General features: G+C 45.5%; 1 annotated feature.

The window, feature by feature from the left end:
• Positions 7430-7929: an enhancer, noted in NCBI's record as "H3K4me1 hESC enhancer chr4:17472355-17472854 (GRCh37/hg19 assembly coordinates)". NCBI's record gives its function as "activates a minimal SCP1, AML or CMV promoter by ChIP-STARR-seq in naive H9 embryonic stem cells {active_cell/tissue: H9 hESC(naive)}" and the evidence as "EXISTENCE:reporter gene assay evidence [ECO:0000049][PMID:30033119]".

Genomic DNA, 22878 nt, shown 5'->3' on the forward strand with positions numbered 1-22878 from the left:
CTTTCCTTCTTTCCTCTCTTAGACTCCTGCAGTCCATCGTCTCTAATATCCACTCACTGCTTCATTCATTCATGCCACACACACAGTCACAGAGCACTTGTTCTGTGCCAGGCATACATTTTCTCTAGATACTGATTCCTAATGAAATCTCCCTCTTGGAGACCCCCAATGCATATATTAGAGGCTCTGAGAAGTTTTATCTATCTATCAAATAGAGGATGGATAGATAGATGATAGATAGATAGATAGATAGATAGATAGATAGATAGATAGATAATGGATTAACTTTCAATATTTTCCTTACTTATGGACCTCTTTTTCCATGGACACCTATTACCATCCCAGCACAATGGTGTTCTAAGAAACACACTTTGGGAACAGTGCAGGACCACACCTGACACACTGTAGCACACTCCTGACCAAGATTCTGTCCTCGACCAAACTCTAGCCAGGGCCCTCTGAGCCCTTTCTCTACTAGACCTCAAGGCATGGCCTAGAAAGACTTGAGCAAACACTAACATAGTTTCTAACAGCTCAGCCATATCCCTAGGACAACTCCAGCTTCCTTAAAGTGCCTGCCTGAGAAAACTCCAGGTTGCCAAAAGAATGTACTGTTTGTTCCAGCAACCTGAGGACAGAGCCTGTCTCCCAGTCTCTGTGGGAGGGTAGGAGCCCACCTACATTCAATAAGAGCCAGGCAACAAACCCAGATGGGTTTCACATGGACCAATCTTTTCTTCCTACTTTTTGTAATTTGTCTTTTCTCTGACTCAAATGAGCCCCCAGTTGCCCCCACCCTACTCCAGTCTCCCTTTAAAATGCCCGGTCACCTCCGTACAAATCAAAGTTGAGTTTACACCTGACCTTCTTCCCTATTTCAATAGTATATAGTAGTTAACCCCTTTCTGAGGTTTTATGCTTTCTGGTTTCAGTTACCAGCAACTGTGATCTGAAAATATAAAAAGAAAAATTCCAGAAATAAACAATTCACAAGTTGTAAATTCCATGTCTGTTCTGGCTATCATGATGAAATCTCACACCATCCCACTCTTTCCTGACCTGGACGTAAATCATGTCTTTGTCCAGGGTACTCACGTTGCCTGTGCCACCCACCCACTAGTCACTCAGTAGCAATCTGGGTTATCAGATCAAAAAAACAGTATATAGGTGATATGGTTTGGCTGTGTCCCCACCCAAATCTCATCTTGAATTCCCACATGTTGTGGGAGGAACCCAGTGGGAGGTAATTGAATCCTGGGGGCAGGTCTTTCCCGTACTGTTCTCATGATAGTGAATAAGTCTCATGAGATCTGATGGTTTTAAAAAGGAGAGTTTCCCTGCACAAACTCTCTTCTCTCTTCGCCCGCCACCATCCATTTAAGATGTGACTTGCTCCTCCTTACCTTCCGCCATGATTGTGAGGCCTCCCCAGCCACGTGGAACTGTAAGTCCATTAAACCTCTTTCCTTTGTAAATTGCCCAGCCTCTGGTATGTCATTACCAGCAGCATGAAAACTAATACGATAGGGTTTGGTACTATCTGTGGTTTCAGGCATCCACTGGAGGTCTTGGAAGATAACCCCTCAGATAAGAGAAGACCACTGTATTACTGATTAATATCTGTCCATACCACATTAACTGGTGTCTGACTTTGTTTATCTTTGCCACTCCACCTAGTTCTCCACACATGAAAAGCCCTAAGGGAAGACTCATTAAAATTGATACAGGAGGATCTAGTTAATGCAATGAGGTCTAGGTGAGAATTGAGACTATCCTGTTTCCAAAAAGCAGGAAACAGGTATGTTTGTCCAAGACAACAAATTCCAGAACTGGCCTTAGAGTCCCACAGATGTAACTAAAATCCCAATTGGTCCATTGTGAAACCAACTTATCTGGGTCTCAGAGGTCCCAGTGAGGATTAACTGAGATAATGCTGAGGAAGACCAAAGCCTCCCCTGAGATATTTGCGATGCTTTACTCTCACAGTTGCCTTTGCCTATGCCTAGCTACTCAGCCTATGCATCACAGTCTGTCCCTCAAGATACAGATAAGGAAATCAGCCTTTCCTTTAATAGGAGGGAGCAAGGAGGCAGGGATAAAAATTTTAACCAGTGGGCCAGGCACGGTGGCTCACACCTATAATCTCAGCACTTTGGGAGACTGAGGCAGGAGGATCACTTGAGTTCAGGAGTTCAAGACCAGCCTAGACAACATAGTGAGACTTCCTCTCTACTAAAAATCAAGAAAATTAGCTGGGTGTGGTGATGCGTAACTGTGGTCCCAGCTACTTGGGCGTATGAGGCAGGAGGATCACTTGAGACCAGGAGTTCGAGACTGCAGTTTGCCCCGCTGCACTCCAGTCTGGGCAACAGAGTGAGACTCTATCTCAAAAAAAAAAAAAAAAAAATTTAACCAGGCCGGGCACAGTGGCTCACACATGTAATCCCAGCACTTTAGGAGGTTGAGGCGTGCAGATCACTTGAACTCAGGAGTTCAAGACCAGCCTGGCCAACATGGTGAAACCTCGTCTCTACTAAAAACACAAAAATTAGCTGGATGTGTAATCCCAGTTACTCAGGAGGCTGAGGCATGAGAATTGTTTGAACCCGGGAGGCAGAGGTTGCAGTGAGCCAAGATCATGTCACTGTACTCCAGCCTGGGCTGCGACTCAGAAAAAAAAAAAATTAACCAGTGGAGGCCAGTAATTTTTTCAACCCATGCATGCACAGGCACACACACACACACACACACACACACAGCATTTTTATAGATTTTTTCCAAGCATGAGATGAAACAAAGGAGCAGTTCCATGGCAAGAATGAAAATAACTCCAGATTAAATATCAGACACCCTGTTCTTTAAGAGTTCCTCTGCCTCCCACCACCTCAGCAAAGCTATGCATTCTCCTTTGCTCTCTCCTCACACTTTTATGCAGAGCCAGTCCGCTCTTTGTGGCCTCAACCCCCGAATTTGATTCCAGGTCTACCAGCTCTCCGAAAGACATTCCCATAGAAGCCCTCATGAACAGGCAAGTATGCTCTCAAATAGCAAAGTTTTCCTCTGCCTAAGCCTGCACCTACACAGATCCCAAGAAAGCCAACTTCAAGTCCAAAAATGGCCCATAAGGAGGCAGCTGGAGTGTAAAGCAGAACTCCCCAATCTCCAATCACTCAAACATGAGCTGCCTGAGTTTCCCCATACACCACATATTCATACCATGTCTACTAGAATGATAACTGCCGAAAGATGCTTGTGTCCTAATTCCCGGAACCTGTGAATATGGCACCTTACATGGCAAAAGGGACTTTGCAGATGTGATTAAAAGGATCTCGAAAAGGAGAGATTATTCTGGATTTCCTAGGAGGGCCCAATGTAATTATAAGGCTCCTTATAAAAGGGAGGCAGAAGGGTCAAACTCAGAAAAACCAGGTGTGTTGTGAGGATGGGGCCCTAAGCTAAGGAAGGCAGGCAGCTTCTAAAAGCTAGAGAAAGCAAGGACTCAAGTTCTTCCCTAGAGCCCTCAGAAGAAATGCAGCCCTGGCAACACCTTGATTTTAAGACTTCTGTTTTTGTTTTTTGGGGTTTAGTTTTTTGAGATGGAGTCTCGCTCTGTTGCCCAGGCTGGAATGCAGTGACACGATCTTGGCTCACTGCAACCTCCACCTCCCAGGTCCGTGCAATTCTCCTACCTCAGCCTCCCAAGTAGCTGGGACTATAGGCATGAGCCACCATGCCTGGCTAATTTTTTGTACTTTCAGTAGAGACAGGATTTCACCACGTTGGCCAGGCTGGTCTCGAACTCCTGAGCTCAAGTGATCCGCCTGCCTTGGCCTCCCAAAGTGCTGGAATTACAGGTGTGAGCCACTGTGCCCGGCCACCATGATTTTAAGACTTCTGGCCTCTGTAACTATAAGATGATCAATTTGTATTGTTTTAAACCAATAAGTTGGTGGTAATTTGTTACAGCAGCAATAGGAAGCTAATACACTATATACATTACATTATGTAGTGTATTCCTCAGGTAATGTTTATTTTTTATGCACTGTCTACTTATCCTCATCCTCACAATAATATCCATGTATTCATGGTTTTGATGTGGTTGCTATGTATTTTCCTAATACACATCAAAATAAACAACAGAGCGAGACTCTGTTGTTTATGATTATTAAATAAGAAGCGTTCACCTGTGTCCCTCCCCATACCCCCGGTACACCTGCCCCGAGGGCACAGTGTGGATCCCACTTTGGAAAATTCTGGTGCAAAGGGACGCTCAAGGCCCTCAAGATGGGAAACCAGAGTTCCACGCCTGGCTCTTCCACTGATGGCCTTGAGCGGGTCACTCTGAAACTCCTGCTCCCTAGCACTCTCCTCTGTACAGGGGTTCCATAGAATTTCTTGTTGGACCGCAGCCCTCTGCTGTCCACCAGGATTACCCAGGACAGTCGGTGGCTGAGCAGAGAGTCAGCCAAGGGTTTCCATTCCCTGGGCCCTTAAACCCATTCCTCTTACCTGAGTTCTCCAGCTTGAACCCCCCACGCCACCCCACCCTGTACATGGAGTCAGAAAGCTGAAGTTTAGAGCAATGACAACCTCTCTCCACTCCTCTTTTTCCCTCCGGAGCATCTACGCATCAAGCCTGGATGACATCAAAGAAAAAAAGCTGCTTCACGTCTCCCTCCACCCTCCGTCGGTCACTCTGAATCACACTCACATAGAGAGAGGATCAGCCAACCACTCCAGTGTGGTTTAAAGGCAGGAACACTACAGTAGAAGTTCAAAAATCTGGTTTAAATATGGCTTCATGACCTGCCAATCCGGTGACCTTAGCCTCTCTGATACTCAGTTTCCTCCTTTGTAAACAGGGAAAATCTGACTTAGCTCAAACTATGAGTATGAAGATTCAATGAAATAACATAGGCTCAATCTCACAGCACCAAGCCTGATACATGGTAGGTATTCAGCAAATGTCACCTGAGCCTAAATTGGAATCAATAACCATTTCCAAAGTGTGCAGAGGGGACGGACACTGTACAGGGACTCCTGATACGTGACGGCAGGGCACAGACCTTTTCCCATGGCTGGCGGACATACTGAGGTCTACACTGCTGTTGCGATGACTGTTGCTGTTTGTGTGCTGTTGTTTGAAGGTGGATTGGGCTTTCACGATGTTGCAAACTTGGCGATGTTTAGGAAGCTGCTACTATTACATTGGTGCAAAAGTAATAGCGGTTTTTGCTATTGCTTTTAGTGGCAAAAACCGCGATTACTTTTGCACCAACTTACACATTTTTGAACCTATTTCCACTTCTGTGAAGTAAGCCAGAGAAATGAGGGGAGAAAGGGTGAGGGGAAGAAGACAGGAAGGCAGGAAAGGAGCGAAAGGCAAAGTGAACAGCAGCAGGTCTCCAGTGCTTGGGGTGACTTATCGATCTCAGATCCACTCACAGGGCTGAGCAGAGGCCCCACTAGGCAAAGAAAACTGAACCAAGTTTCCCACGCTAGTTTTCCAAGACGAATTGTCTCATCGGCTGCCAATGCCTGCCCCCTTGCAGAAGTTCTTCAAACTGCTTGTATTTTTATTTATTTATTTATTTATTTATTTATTTATTTTTAATGCCAGGACACTTGGAAAGGCTCACAATGAGAAAATGTTTTAAGCTTCCAGAGGTTCCCCGTTGCCTAAAGATAAAAACCACCTGACAGAGATCCTTCATGATGCAGCCCCTGCCCACGAAGACACCTCTCCTCCATGCACTCCCCGCCAGCACTTTATCCTGTAATGATAACAAGCTCCATAGTTCCCCAATAATTAATTGAGTTGATAAGAGGCCAACTTGGGAATGAGATAGACCAGAGTTCAAAATTCTGATGCTTTTTCCTCTAGCTGTGTGGCTCTGGGTAAGTTATCTAACTCACGGCTGGGCACCGTGGCTCACGCCTGTAATCTCAGCACTTTGGGAGGCTGAGGCAGGTAGATCACCTGAGGTCAGTAGTTTGAGACCAGCCTGGTCAACATGGTGAAACCTTGTCTCTACTAAAAATACAAAATTAGCCAGGTGTGGTGGCACACGCCTGTAGTCCCAGCTACTCGGGAGGCTGAGACAGGAGAATCACTTGAACCTGGGAGGCAGAGTCTGCAGTGAGCCGAGATCATGTCACTGCACTCCAGCCTGGGCAAGACAGAGTGAGACTCCATCTCAAAAAAATAAAATAAAAGAAAGAAAAGATATCTAACTCTCTCAACTTGTTCCTCATCTTTAAAATGGGAATAATAACAGCACTTACCTCCTAGGGTTGCTCTAGAATTAAATTAGAATTAAATGAGGTAACGCATGAAAAGCATCTTCTAAGGGTGCTTTATGCCCCATGCACTTTAGCTGCCAAGGGTAAATGCAGCCTGTTCTTTCTTTTCTTTTTTTTTTTTTTTAATTATACTTTAAGTTTTAGGGTACATGTGCACAACATGCAGGTTTGTTACATATGTATACATGTGCCATGTTGGTGTGTTGCACCCATCAACTCGTCATTTAACATTAGGTATATCTCCTAATGCTATCCCTCCCCGCTCCCCCCACACCACAACAGGCCCCAGTGTGTGATGTTCCCCTTCCTGTGTCCATGTGTTCTCATTGTTCAATTCCCACCTATGAGTGAGAACATGCGGTGTTTGGTTTTTTGTCCTTGCGATAGTTTGCTGAGAATGATGGTTTCCAGCTTCATCCAGCAGCCTGTTCTTTCTACCCCTGAGCCATTCACTTAACAAGCGCTTATTATGCATTACTTGGATGACAAAGGAGGCATAGTCCCTGCTTTAAAGAACTTGTAGTTGAGTGAAGAGACAGAAATATAAACAAGTAACTATTATACTCTTAATTTGACAAAGGCAGTGTTTGAGTTAAATATAGCTTGTGTCCCTCTCAAGTCAAGCAAAACCTAAGATAAGGGATTGTATGAACTAATTTATTTAAGGAAGTGGTCCTCGGAAGCAGAGTTGGGGACTAGGGGCATAGGAAGAGTGAAACAGGGCAGGAGGGAAAGCCAACACACATTTTATTATGTTGGTGCAAAAGTGATTGCGGTTTCTGGTATTACTTTCAATGGTAAAAACCGCAATGACTTTTGCAGCAACCTCATACCAAGCTGCATCACGTTCTAAGTAACTGGGAATGATGCCACTAGAGGCTGTCTAAGGAGTGGTGAAGAGTGATGTGCCTCATTCTGACACATCGTCAGAAGGACAGGAGGGGAACATTCGTCCACCAGCCCGTCTCCCAGTGGTCAAGTGTGTTGCCCCTTGGAGCATTAACTCTCCACCCTCCCAGGTTTGCGCATGTGTGAGTGCCTGGCACATTTCTGCAGACATCCCATTCCTCAATGTCAGGCAAGCCCAGAGGCAGAAAGCGAGGTAGGCAGGACAGCCAGGGACATGCGGTCAGCTTGCACTTGCTCAAAGCTGGTGGCCCCAGCCATGACTGGAATAAAATGTGGGCAGGGAGGATGCAAGGCGAGGCACAAGAGGTGGCCAATGACGACACAGGAAACTGTCGGTAGGAGGGGCACCTGACCCAGCCCAGCCTTTGGGCAAAGGGATGGGATTTTATCAGATAAGGGTTCCTGGAACGGATGACTATGCCAGGTCTAGGAGGAGTTAGCTGAATCAAGGTGGAGAAGAGGAGAGAAATGGCTGGGCTAAAGCAATGGAGGAAGGTGGAGTGCAGAGGCAGGAGGAGGGCAGGTTCAAGGAATAATTAGGGGGTACAATTGTCAGGGCGAGGCGAGGGACGGGATGATGAGTGGGGAGTAAGAGTGGTTGTGGATAACGTGGTTTCTGACCCCCGTGTCTCCACTCAAGACAGAAAGGGAGGAGGAGAATGTGGCTCCCAGGATGGATACTGAGCTCTGATGCACCATGTTCAACTTAACTCTGCGATACTCAAGTGGAGAAGGTCAAGAAGCTCCCGGGTGCTGGAGTCGGATGCTTAGGAAGGCTTTAAAGTTGGCGTATGGAGAAATGGAACAGGATCTTGAAAAGGACTTGCTGTATCAGGTTTTCATTAATGTGCAAAGGCCAAGAACACAACAGGTACCAAGTCCCCACATTCCTAGGCAAAGTGTTAGGTCACTGGTGCAGGACCCATCAAGAGACTAGGAAGCCATTGTCAGATCCCACGCATACCCACCACCAGCCTTTGATGCTGGAGAGGTGGAAGAGGTAGAGAGACAATGTCTCCAGAGAGCTGTTGGAATCTTGCACCATTTCTCCTCTCCCTGCCCCTCTCTGGGGAGTGAAGAAGGAGGGCAAATGCTCATGTTTTCCCAAGGCTAGATGTGGGCCATATGGGAAGGAGCCAACCTCAAGCCATGTTGAAAGGAACACTTCCCAGGAGTTAGCCTGGAAAGACAAAGTGACCCTGCAGGGATGGGGGACCATGGAAGCCTAGAGGCTGAGGGGACCATGGAAGCCTAGAGGCTGAGGAGACCTGCTGGGGAAGAAGACTGTATGCTTCAGGGTTGCTGTGGTCAGAGGATGCAACAGGGTGCACCCAGCCAAAGAACCAACATTTAATAATCTGCCATGCCCAGACAGCACCTACATCTGGATATATCTGAGCCAGTCCAGCACATCCTCCCTGTCCTATACTGTTCCTGGATCCAGCTTGCCAGCACCCTCAGAAGTGGATCCCTCAGCTCCAGTCGAGCCTTCAGATGAAGGCAGCCCCAGCTGACATCTGACAGCAGCCTCACAGGAGACCCTGAGCCATAACCCCAAAATAAGTCACTCCTAAATTCCTGACCCACAGAAACTGTGAAAGATAATAAGTACTATTCTTTTAAGCTTCTAAGTTTTGGGGTGATTTGTTTACACACCAATAGATAACTAACACATGGCTCCACCCCACTACTACTAAATCAGGATTGGGAAAGTTTCCAGGAATCCATTTTTAATAACCTCCCTAAATTATTCCTTTGATAACCAACTAAATTTAGAGGAAGAAGACCAAAGCGGCATCTCTGGGAATCCTGACCTTCAGGGTTTCCATGAACTTTACAGTCTTGTGAGTGAAACTGACAATAATCCCACCAATGTTATTTAGTTGTAATTATGATCTGGGTTTGAAGGAAGTAGGAAAGGGTTTGGGCACCAATTTTAAGAGTCACTGAAACATCACTGGTGTAACTTGTAGCTAAGTAAGCCAAACATGCTTCCAGCTAAACTGACAGCTCCACCCAGTGGACATTTTGAAAACTTCTCTCATCTGAGTTTTTTTTTTTCTTTTATACACTTGGATTCACTGGCAGCTGAAAGCCCACTATCACCATCAGCTAAGATGCTGATTCAGATCATGTTTGCATCTTTGCTGCTTACCAGCTGTTAACTACCTAAATTGCAAGCCCTTTCATGCACCTCCGAAGGAGTCTGGTTTAGAAGATCAGAGAGCGAAAGTAGCTAAGGAACAAACACTACCAAAAAAAGTCGTGGTACAGGCAGGGCGCGGTGACTCACGCCTGTAATCCCAGCACTTTGGGAGGCCGAGGTGGGCGGATCACGAGGTCAGGAGATCGAGACCATCCTGGCTAACACGGTGAAACCCCGTCTCTACTAAAAATACAAAAAAAATTAGCCAGGCGTGGTGGTGGGCGCCTGTAGTCCCAGCTACTCAGGAGGCTGAGGCAGGAGAATGGAGTGAACCTGGGAGGTGGAGCTTGCAGTGAGCCGAGATCGCACCACTGCACTCCAGCCTGGGCGACAGAGCGAGACTCTGTCTCAAAAAAGAAAAAAATAAAAAAAAGGGCGTGGTACAAATATATTTTCAAAATGTTGGGTCTGCTTCTACCCATGGAAATAAATCAGATTTTTAAAAAGAAAGAAAAAGGAAGGGTGCAGTGACTCCTGCCTATAGTCCCAGCCCTTTGGGAGGCTGAGGCAAAAGGATCACTTGAGCTCAGGGGTTCAAGACCAGCCTGAGCAACATAATAAGACTCTGTCTCTACAAAAAATACAAAAATTAGCCAGGTGTGGTGGCACGTGCCCATAGTCCCAGCTACTTGGGAGACTGAGGTGGGAGGATCACTTGAGCCTGGAAGTCAAGGCTGCAGTGAGCTGTGATTGCACCACTGCACTCCAGCCTGTGTGACAGAACGAGGGCCTGCCAAAAGAAAAAAGAAAAAGAAAGAAAGAGAGAAAGAAAAGAATTCTGCATGAAATTTTTATTAACCAAAAATTCACTTCTGCACAGTAGATATTTTTAATATTTATTCAAAGAATCACCAAATTATTAGCCTTGCGCAGTGGCTTGCACATCCCAGCGAGGCTTGTCAGAGCCTCTTTGAGGCACAGCAGAGCTGCCAGACCATTGCAGGGATGAGGTGACAATGTGCTGATGGGGACCTGAGTGGGATATGGGAGAGTCCAAGGGATAAAAAGACTTCAACATCAAATTTACTGATCCTGATTTCTGTGCTGTTTCCCTGAAAGCAAACAGGCACTGGGCCCACCCATAAGTGTTGCTTCGCATGAAATGGACAAGGTCACAACAGAGAGATGAGCTGCAATTCACTCACTCAACAGCAAGGCCATCTTTGCTTGGCCTGAGTGCCTGTGTTCCTGTGCCACGCCAGTTTCAGTCCCTTACATGGCTCTGGCACAACACAAAAAAAGAGAGATGGCAAGAGGAGCTGGGCAGGGGACTGAATCCCCCAGGCCGTTACAATGGATTCAGTTCAAGCCAACCCCACACAGGTTCACAGCAGCCCATACTGCCCAGGGAAGACCGTGACCTCCTTCCCTCCCCAGGGCTCCTTAACATTGACTGAACACTTACTATGCTGTAGGCCTTGCTTTACAAGCATTGATTCATCTTCACAACTTTAACGAGGAAACTTCTATTATTATGTTCATTTCACAATTGAGAAGAGTGACACATAGAGAGAAGTCTGCCAGTTCAGCAGTTACTCTGTGGCCTTACTGTGTGCCTGGCACTGAGCTACATACTGGGAGTTGCAAGGATGAGTTTAAAAAACAGACAAGTTGGTCAGGCGTGGTGGCTCACGCCTGTAATCCTAGCACTTTGGGAGGCCAAGGCGGGTGAATTGCCTAAGCTCAGGAGTTCGAGACCATCCTGGGCAACATGGTGAAACCCCATCTCCACTAAAATACAAAAAATTAGCCAGGTGTGGTGGCACACACCTGTAGTCCCAGCTACTCGGGAGACTGAGGCAAAGAATCGCTTGAGTCCAGGAGGCAGAGGTTGCACTGAGCTGAGATCATGCTACTGCATTCCACCCTGGGTGGACAGAGCTAGACGCTGTCTCCAAAAAATAAATAAATAACAGACAAGTAAATGGCACTGCTCCTGTCTCATGGAATTTATTTCTTTTTCCTGTTTCATTAAGTCATACAGCAAAACTTGCATTTATTTTATTTTATTTTATTTTATTTTAGAGATAGGGTCTTGCTCTGGGACCCAGGCTGGAGTGCAGTGGCATAATCACAGCTCAAGGGATCCTCCCACCTCAGCCTCCCAAGTAGCTGGGACTAAAGGCACACACCACCATGCCCAGCTAATTTTTGTATTTTGGGTAGAGATGGGGTTTCGCCATGATGCCTAGACTGCTCTCGAACTCCTGGCCTCAAGCAATTCTCCCACTTTGGCCTCCCAAGGTGCTAGAATTACAGGCGTGAGCTGCCGCATCTGGCTCACATCTTACTATATCATAACATATATCATGCATGCTGTCTTTCACTTGACGCTGTACCGTGAGAATTTTCTCATATCACTAACAATTATTTGAAGATGTGATTTTTAATAATTCTTAGCACAACTAGATTGTGCTAATTAACTGTACGGCTTATTTGCAGTCTGGTATAATGTAGTAGCTAAGAGCGGTCTGAATACCTGCTCAAATCCTGACATTTGCTGCTTCCTAACTGTGTGACGTTGGGCAAGTAACTTCTCTCTATGCCACAATCTTCTCAACTGTGAAATGGACATAATAATAGAAGTGTCCTCGTTAAAGTCATGAAGATGGGTCAATGCTTGTAAAGCAAGGCCTACAGCATAGTAAGGATTCATTTGGTCAATGTTAAGGAAGAGAGATGGCAAGAGGAGCTGCGCAGGGGACTAAACCCCCTAGGCCATTACAGCAGATGCAGTTCAATGTCAAGCAGACCCCTACTGGGTTCACAGCAGCCCATACACCCCAGAAAGGATCTGGACCTCCTTCCCTGCCCAGGGCACTCCTCCCATTCAGCAGTTATTCTATGGCACAAATCATATTATATCATAATGTATGGTGATTATTTAACAATTCTGTGCTGCTAGTCTTTTGGATTGTTTCCAAGATTTCAGTAATGATGCAGGAATTTCATTTGTTATTTTTTTTGTCCTTGTTGCTGATTATTACATAACACTTAAGATATGGAATTACTAGATCAAATGGTATATTTGAGGGTTGTAAGACCCTCAAATTACTTGCCAGAAAAGTTCTGCTACTTGGCTGGCCACCAGCAGGGTTTGAAATTACACTTTACCAATTACCACCTGCATTTTAAAAATCATTGCTAGTTTGGTAACTACTATTAATGCTATCTCACTGTTTCCATTTGCAGTTCTTAGATAACCATTGAGATGGGATATCTTAATTCTTCTCTTACTCAGATTTTCAGTCCAAATTACTTTATCCAGAGCTAAAAAAATAATTTGCAAAAATGCAGTAGGAAATTCTGCCAGAAACGGAAAACTGAGGCAGAGGCCAGAAAGGGACTTGCTTAGTCCAGGAGTATCTCCAGACTATATAGAGGCTCGCTCAATGCTAAGAACATTCTAGAAAAACATTAAGTTTCAGACCTGGCATGGTGGCTCACGCCTGTAATCCCAGCACTTTGGGAGGCCAAGGCAGGTGGATCACCTGAGGTCAGGAGTTCAAGACCAGCCTGGCCAACATGGAGAAACCCCGTCTCTACTAAAAATATAAAAATTAGCCAGGCGTGGTGGCAGGTGCCTGTAATCCCAGCTACTTGGGAGGCTGAGGCAGGAGAATCGCTTGAACCCGGGAGGTGGAGGTTGCATTGGGCCAAGATCGCACCACAGCACTCCAGCCTGGGCGACAGAGCAAGACTGTCAAAAAAAAAAAAAAGAAGGAAAGAAAGAAAGAAAGAAGGAAGGAAGGAAAGAAAGAAAAGAAGGAAGGAGAAGAGAAAAGAAGAGAAGAGAAAAGAAAAACATTAAGTTTCTTCCAATAATCCCCTGCACAGAGCTCTAGGACAGCAGAAACCCCCGGCACAGTAGGATTTTCTGTCTAATGTGCTTTCTTTATCCCCCACGGAGCTTTGCTCCCCACCGTCTCTGTCTCTAAAATGCCCCCCAGTGGCCTTTATTTTACATCTAAGTGATGGTATTACAATAGAAATTGACCTGAAGGGGAAAAAACTTGGACTCAGCACCAGTTTCCTCCCATGGACAGAGCCTCCGAAACTGACCCTTCCCAATTCTTTTGCCAAGCCCCCAGGAGAGGCTGTCCGTCGCACTTTGAAAGGCAGCATGCAGCCACACCATTCACTTCACTTAGACGCTTTCTATTTCCTGAGATTTTAAGCAGCTGTGACTTAAAAACACTCATAGGTGACAGCAGCATATTGCCCAAGTCCCCAGCTAGACACAATCTGCCACAGAATGTGACCACACCGGGAACACCTCTCCCCAGGCCCCAGGCTATTCCAGAAGGGTGAGTGGTGATATTGCTACCACCCTATCATTGCAACAAGTAGAAACTGAAATTAAGAACTAATGGCTTTGGGGCAAATTAAAAATGCAGAAGTCAGAGGCACTGTTTCCCAGAGAGGCCCACTCTTCCCTCTGAAGTACAGAAAAAAACGGTAAATACTAACCAGCTGCCATCTCACTGAATACCCACAGCCACACCATAAGGGAGATGGTAGCACTCCCATTTTACTGATAGGACACTACATCGGTCAGGGACCAGCCAGAAAACAGAACCACTCCAACAGAGGAAATTTAATAAAGAGGATGGGTCATATCAGAGACGGAAAAATCCAGAATCCAAACAGGGGACAATGAAGCGACCCAGAGATGAGCAACAGTGAGAAGCCACTGCAACTCAAGGGCTGAGAATCAAAGGAAGAGCCGTGGGCAGGCCCTGGGGAGCTGCTTCCACCGAGGAAGGAGCCAGTCAGTGGGAGCGGGGAAAACAGAGGAGACGCACCACAGCTGAAGACGTCACCACTGCCCCTGAGATGCCACTGAGGCAGGAGGGGTAATGGGGATACTGTGCTTCTCCCCTCTCCCCATCCTCCCTTTCTCTACCAGGCCCCCAACTGCCTGACCCTACAGGAAGCCAGGGACAGGGGAGCCTGGAAAATGTGGTGCCTGACATGCAGACTGGGACTGAGAAGGGCAAGCAATAAATGTGAGAAAAGAGGCCAAAGGCTGGCCCATTGCTCGTGGTCCCATAACTACGGTGTGGCAGGGCCAGGTAGTGAACAAAGTGCACCTGTGTCCACCAACCTGCTGCATGGAGGAAGCCACCAAGGAGATGAGAGGCGGACAAAGCAGCAGATGGCAGGAATAAACAGGAGGAGATGTTACCGTCATGCCTCCCTAACCAGAGAATCATACAAACCACCAAGGGTGGCGCTTGGGTGTGGACCCCGGCTCCCTGACTCATTTGCATCACTTAGTAGGGATGTGCGGGATAGTAAGCTTCTCCAAGGCTGTTTCCCTGTCCACTCATTCAGCACTTACTCAACACTGAACAGGTGGAGAGGCACTGTGAAAAATAATGCTTCAGGGGGTAAGAGAAACTAATCTTCATCCCTTCTCTCCTCTACGTTCCTAACCCACCAGGAACAGACAGGAAGGTAGAGGTGAGAAATCAGTTCTGCATAGGCAAGAAGAGGGCAGGAGAGTGAGCAACCCACACAGCCCAAAGTCCATGCAGCAGACCCGCCCCTGGTCCATATGTTCCAGTCAGTCTTTATTTACAGTCTCTCCAATCAGATAAATCCGTCCTTCCTCCTATGGTGAGGAGCAAGTGAGGACCTCAAGAGAGGAAAAGATACATTCCTGCAAAAACCTTCCCATCCTGGAGGCTGAAGAGGTGAATGCCTTAAGGATATACAAGGAAGGATGTATGTAAAACCCCACACACACAGCAGATGGCCCATGAATGCCACATATCATTAGCACATTCAGGGACCAAGTGCCAATGTGCAATCTCTTTTTGTTTGTTTTTGAGATAGGGTCTGTATTAGTCCGTTTTCACGCTGCTGATTAAGATATACCCAAGACTGGGAAGAAAAAGAGGCTTCATTGGACTTACAGTTTCACATGGCTGGGGAGGCCTCAGAATCATGGCGGGAGGCAAAAGGCACTTCTTACGTGGTGACGGCAAGAGAAAAATGAGAAAGAAACAAAAGCAGAAACCCCTGATAAACCCATCAGATCTCGTGAGACTTATTCACTACCACGAGAATAGCATGGGAAAGACCGGCCCCATGATTCAATTACTTCCCCCTGGTTCCCTTCCATTCCCACAACACATGGTAATTCTGGGAGCCACAATTCAAGTTGACATCTGGGTGGGGACACAGCCAAACCAAATCAGGGTCTCACTCCATGATGGCTGGAGTACAATGGCATGATCACAGCTCACTGCAGCCTCAACCTCCCAGGCTCAAGTGATTCTCCCACCTCAGCCTCCCGAGTAGCTGGGGCTACAGGCATGTGCCACCATGCTGGGCTAATTTTTGTATTTTTTTGTGGAGAGGGGGTGTTACTATGTTGCTCAGGCTGGTCTCTAACTCCTGGGCTCAAGTGATCCACCCACCTAGGCCTCCCATAGTGGCTGGGAGCCACCATGCCCAGCCTTCCAATGTGCAAGCTCAACTCACACTTAGTATGTCCTGCACCCTGTCCATAAGGGATCTCACAGACTTCAGTGCAAATTCTGGCTTCTTTCTACACCGGCTATGTGGTTTGGGAAAATAACTTAAACTCTATGATCCTTAGTTCCCTCACCAGATATGGAACTAATATCTACCTCACTCAGGTGCTTAGTCCAGGTTCCCTAGAAAACAGCGAGAAACGAAAGCTTATGTGCAAATGGAAATCATCAAAGTTAAAAATTATGTTCTTCAAAGGGCACCATCAATAAAGTGAAAAGACAACCCACTGAATGAAAGAAAGGTGTGGCAAATCACTTATCTGATAAGGGAATTGTATCTAGAGTATATAGAGAATCTAAGAATTCAGTAATAAAAGGATATTATTAAAAATTGAGCAAAGGATCTGAACAGACATTTCACCATATGCAAATAGCCAACAAGTACATGAAAAGATGCTCAACATCATCAGCTATGAGGGAAATACAAATCAAAATCACAATGAGATGCCACTCCACACCCACTAGGATGGCTATAATCAAAAAGAGACAACCTATAATCAAGCAATCAGTGCCGATTTTTAAGAAAACCAAAATTAAGATACCAACTGAATTAAAAATTATGTAATACTTGTGGCACTCTGACAAATGAGACCTTGAGGTCCTTACTTGCTCCTCACCATAGGAGGAAGAGGATGGACTTATCTGACTGGAGACATGTAAATCAAGACTGACTGGACTGGACATGTGGAAAAACTAAAACCATCATACACTACCAGTGGAAATGTAAAATGGTGCAGCTGCTTTGGAAAACAGTCTAGTAATTGCTAAAATGGTTGAATATAGAGTCACCAACTGATATTCAATAACTCTACTTGTAGGCATGTACCAAAAGAAATGAAAATATATGTTCACACAAAAGGTGAGTTTTGCAAATGTTCACAGCATCATAACTGACTATGGCCAAAAAGCAGAAACAATTCACATGTCTAACAACTGATGAGTGGACAAATAAAATGTGGCATAACCATACAATGGAATATTATTTGGCAATAAGAACCGAAGTATTGCCACGTGCTGTGTGACATGAACTTTACTTTCCCGTCATACTTCCATATAAAATTAGAAACAGATAATAAGAATAACAACCAATACTTTCTGAGCACTTCTATATGCCAGTCCTTTTGCATGCATTCATTTGTTTAATCCCTGGAGATCATGATAATGTTCCCGTTTCTCATATGACTGAGATATGGAGATGTAAGAAATATTCTCAAGGTTCTACAGCAAGTAAATGGAAGAACTATGTCCAAATTCATGTGACCTGACTCAGGGCCCTTCTATAACTCTATATTGCTTCTAGGTGTAGGTTATACTCACACTGAAAGTTCCAAAGAAAAAGTCACAATTGTTTAATGGAACAGACCACAGCGGGTTCCTCCCCAGTACTCTGGAGGAGCCCCATGGCATGCTGTTCTATTCCTAGAAGCTGTGTACGCTCTCAGCTTCCAGGAACATGCAGGCTGACCTCCAAGCTGGTGACAGCCCATTTGGAAGGGGGCAGAAGCCACAATCTGGAATGTAGCAGGAAATTAGCACCTAGAGGCAAGCTGTCTTCAGGCAAGTTCGGGCTGAGGGAAGCTAAAATTCAATAAGCCAGGCTTCAAATTACATGTATCTGATCAATTCCCTAAGAAATGATTTCAGCTATAAAGCATACCTGTGAGAACAAACAGATTCAAAAACCTGGTAGAGTTTTCCAGATTCTGTTCAAGGATAAAGTTTAGAAGATTCCAACAAAGTACCTAACCTAAGTTAAAGTTGTCTGTACACCATTTCCTCTCCTCTCATGCTTTCATAACCCCACTCGAATATTCCCTACTCCCCATTACTCTACTGAACTGTTTGTCAAGATCGCAAGGACCTCCCCACAGCTGGGTCCAATGGTCAGTTTTTATAGCCCTTATCTTACTTGACTTCTCACAGCATTCAACACTGCTGCTCATTCCCTCCCTTCTTGATACTTTCTTCACTTTATTCCTGGGACACCACATTCTTACTTTTTCTCCTACTTTATTGGTTGTTCTCTTTCAGTGCCCTTTTGTTGATTTTTTTTCTCCCTATTATCAGAGAAATTATCTTCTTCTCTTCTCTTCTCACATATTTAGTGTATTGCCAGTTTCCAATTTATTTCCTCTCTGCTCCAAAGCCACCCTTCATTGACTGTTCTGCAATAATGGAACTGGACTCTGTAAACATTTCTCCTGCATAGCTGATACAATGTTCAGTTTTGCCAACACAGAGTGTTGGAGGAGGGGGCTTCCTTTCCTGGTTCTGGTGTGCTTCCATATGGTTCCTGCCACATGGTTACCATGTACATGTGAGGGACATCCAGCAGCACTTCATGCACCCTGGCAGGGTGCTTCCTGCTTCCCCAGTGGCTGTAGACCAACACAGGCCCAGGGAACCCAACAAACTCTGCTGTCCAGTGCCATAACTTCTCCATGTCCACCTCTCTATGTCCTACTCTATGTCCACCGCCATACCTTCTCCAATGAAGCTCAGGTCCCAGCCTTGGGGAGGGACTTGTCTTCCAAATTTGTTCCTCAAGTGCTGTCCCTCGGCACAAGAATATTCTTCAGAGTTCTCATTAGCCTTTTAGAATTAATCTTTGCTACTCGATAATTCTTTATATTACACTGACCTCATTCACAATACTGCATGGCTTCTGTCTTCTGGACCCTGGCCAACACATTCCCTTAGTGATCTCACCTAGTCTCATAACTTTAACTGCTTAGGACCCCCAGATCTCTCAGGACCCCTAGATCTCTCTCTCTCTCAAACACCAGACTTAATACAACTGCCCACTTAACATCTCCACTGGGGTATTAATAGAGTAAACCTCTATGTCCAAAACAACACTCCAGATACTCCCAATACTTGCTCTATCCACAGCCTTCTCTATCACACTTGCTAACTTAATCCATTTGCTCACGTGAAAAACTTTGGGAGACATCACTGACTCTTTTCTCTCTTACCGTCACATTAAATCCACCAGGAAATCCTCTTGAATCTGTCTTCAAAATATCCACCATTTCCCAATTCTCCTCTCACGACCTCCACTGCTACCACCCTAACCACTGTCATTTCTTGCCTGGATTCTTGCAAAAACCTCAGTACTATCCTCAACACAACAGCCAGAGCAATCTTTTAAAATATATCATGCCACTCTTTCGCTCAAAATCCTTGCGGTAGTTCCCAAAATCCAAAACCAAATCCTTAAAATGCCCAACACCCCCTTACATTTGCTATTCCCAAACTGTGCACCAAGGCACTCCAAGGCAGCATTCACAGGGACTCTACAGGGTACTTTCCATGTTCTAGGTCATAGAGCAATATCAGTCATATTACTACTATAAAATTGTTAGAACCCAACCACTTGTAAATCCAAATCATTAGTTAGTTTCTTTGATGTAGGGGCATTGTAAAAAATTACTGAGACACTAAGGGCACTGTGGGCCTAGAAAATTGGGGGACCCCTACCCTACACAATCATCTGTCTGATCTTATCTCCTGAAACTGCCCCTCTGTTTGCTCCATTCTCTGCCCCAGCCAACCCAGCCTCCCTGTGTTCCTCACCCCACCTGGTACACTACTGCCTCAGGCTCTTTGCAATGACTGGTTCCTCTGTCTTAAAATGTCCTTACCTCAGATGCCCTTGGCTGCCTTCTACACTTTCTTTCAGATGTGTTCAAACGTCACTTCCTCACGAGATATTCCATCACTGCCTGTATTAGTGTGGGCTGCCATAACAAAACACCACAGAGTGGGTGGCTTAACATCACACATTTATTTTCTCTGTTCTGGAGGCTGAAAGTCCAAGACTGAGGCTCCAGTCAATTCCATCTCTTGTGAGGGCTCTCTTCTCAGCTTGTGGACGGCAGCCTCCTTGCTGTGTCCTCACACAGACTTTCCTCAGTGCATGCGTGTGGGAAGAAAGTGAGAGGGAGAACTCTGGTGTCTGTCCTCATAAGAACACTAATCCTGTTGAATCAGTGCCCATCCTCACGAACCCATTTCATCTTAGTTACTTCCTTAGAGGCCCCATCTCCAAATACAGCCACATTAGAGTGAGGTCTTGAACATACAAATTTGGGGGAGACACCCACATTCAGTTCATAACACTACCATTTCTGAAATTGCAATCCCAATCTCCCCAACACTCCTTCACCCCCTTACCTTGCTCTCTTCCCCCCACAGTTCACCTTTCTCGTACTCTCCAATGAATTCATATTATGAATTCTATTGTTTATTATCTGTCACCCTCTCCCCCATCTAGAATAAAACTCAATGATTAAGGGTAGGAGTCTTTGTCTACTTGTTCTTTATGTGTCCCAGGCATCTAGGTTAGTGCCTTGTACACAGTTGGTACTCAAGATTAGCTGTTGAATGAATGAAGGAGAAAAAACATCTCCTTCCTGGCCCCTTTTCCCTTTTCATTCTCTTTGCACATCACCAGGGAAGGAAAAGAAACACACCTCAATAATCAATTAGTTTGAGGAGAGCTGGTAGTCTTCATTCCATTTAGAAACCAGATCTGGTATTCAATAATTAAAAATAATTAATAATTAATAAGCAGCCCAAATTTCCACCAACGGATGAGTAGGTAAACACCAGATTAAAAGACTTCCAAGCAGTCCATGATTCTAGCATACTCATCTATGACTGCTGGATATGAGATGTGATTTGATTAAAGAGACAGGCCAGGCACGGTGACTCACGCCTGTGAATCCCAGCACTTTGGGAGGCCGAGGCAGGCGGATCACGAGGTCAAGAGATTGAGACCATCCTGGCCAAAGTGGTGAAACCCCGTCTCTACTAAAAATATAAAAATTAGCTGGGTGTAGTGGTGCACGCCTGTAGTCCCAGCTACTCGGGAGGCTGAGGCAGAAGAATCGCTTGAACCAGGCAGGCGGAGGTTGCAGTGAGCCGACGTCATGCCACCGCACTCCAGCCTGGGTGACAGAGCGAGACTCTGTCTCAAAATAAAAAGGCAACACGATAAATGAAGTGCATTTATTAGGATAATCAACAGTTACCAGGTCCGGTTCTAAACGGAATGAAAACTACCAGCTCTCCTGAAACTAACTGTACCCTCGTTAAGTCTCTTAGTGTGTGGAACTGTTTCTTCATCTGAAAATTGAAAACAACAAGACATGCAAGGTACAGCATGAGGTAATGTGCTCAGGGTGCTTTCAACAGCTAGACTTGTATACTAGTTCCAGCTGCGCAGCTCTCTAGCTAGGTGACTTTGAACAAGCAGTCCAACCTTCTGAGCTCCCATTTTCTTTCCTGTAATAGTTGGATAAAATCACCTCGTAGTGGCAAGAATCAAGAGACTTCTCAAAAGTTAAACATAGAGGCCAGGCGCAGTGGCTCACAGCTGTAATTCTAAGCACTTTGGGAGGCCGAGGCAGGTGGATCACTTGAGGTCTGGAGTTTGAAACCTGCCTGGCCAACATGGTGAAACTCTGTCTCTTCCATCTCTACTAAAAATACAAAAAAAAAAAAAAAAAATAGCCAGGTGTGGTGGTGGACACCTGTAGTCCTAGCTACTCGGGAGGCTGAGGCAGGAGAATCACATGAACCTGGGAGGTAGAGGTTACAGTGTGCTGAGATCGCACCACTGCACTCCAGCCTGGGCAACAGAGCAAGACTCCATCTCAAAAAAAAAAAAAAGATAAACACAAAAATTACCATATGGTCGAACAATCCTGCTCCTAGGTATATATCCAAAATCATTGAAAACAGATACACAAACACTTATACATGAATGTTCACAGCGGCAATGCTCACAACAGCCAAAAGGTGGAAACAGCCCAAATGTCTATCAACAGATCAGTAAACAAAATTGCAGTGGATACATATAATGGAATATTATGCCACAAAAAGAAAGAAAGTACTGATACATGATGCAATGGGGAAGAACATGGAAAACATAAAGCTAGGTAGAAGCAGCCAGATACAAAAGGTCACATACTGATTCCATTTATACAAAATACCCAGAACAGGCCAGGTGCAATGGCTCACGCCTGTAATACCAGCACTTTGGGAAGACAAGGCAGGAGGACTGCTTGAGTCCAGGAGTTTGAGACCAGCCCGGGCAACATAGCAAGACCTGTCTCTACAAAAAACTTTAAAAAATATCTGGGTGTGGCAGCACGTGCCTGTAGTCTCAGCTCCTCGAGAGGCCAAGGTGGGAAGATTGCTTGAGCCCAGGAAATCGAGGCTGCAGTGAGCCATGTTCATGCCACTGTACTTCAGCCTGGGTAAGAGCAAGACTGTCTCAAAAAAATAGTAATACCCAGAATTAATTCACAGAAACAAAATGAAGATTGGTGGTTGCAGGGGTTAGGGAGCAGGAATGGGGAGGAACTGCTTAAAGAGCTCTGGTTTTTCTTTTGGGGTGATGGAAATGTTTGGGAACTAGACAGAGGTGGTGATTATGCACTACTGTAAATGTGCTAAATGCCACTGAACTGCTCACCTACTTAACTTTTAATACTTAAAATTAGCCTTAAAATGGCTAATTTTGGCCGGGTGCAGTGGTTCACACCTGTAATCCCAGCACTTTGGGAGGCCGAGGTGGGCAGATCACAAGGTCAGGAGATCAAGACCATCCTGGCTAACACGGTGAAACCCCGTCTCTACTAAAAATACAAAAAAACTTAGCCGGGTGTGGTGGTGGGCGCCTGTAGTCCCAGCTACTCGGGAGGCTGAGGCAGGAGAATGGTGTGAACCCAGGAGGCGGAGCTTGCAGTGAACCGAGATGGCGCCACTGCACTCCAGCCTGGGCGACAGGGTAAGACTCTGTCTCAAAAAAAAAAAAAAAAAATTATGTGAATTTCACCTCACTAAAAAAAGAAAGAAAATACGTGGTAAAGGCCTTTAAAAACAGCAACTGTCTGGTGACTAGAG

Source organism: Homo sapiens, chromosome 4 (genome assembly GCF_000001405.40).
Source record: "Homo sapiens chromosome 4, GRCh38.p14 Primary Assembly".
Taxonomy (NCBI): domain Eukaryota; kingdom Metazoa; phylum Chordata; class Mammalia; order Primates; family Hominidae; genus Homo; species Homo sapiens.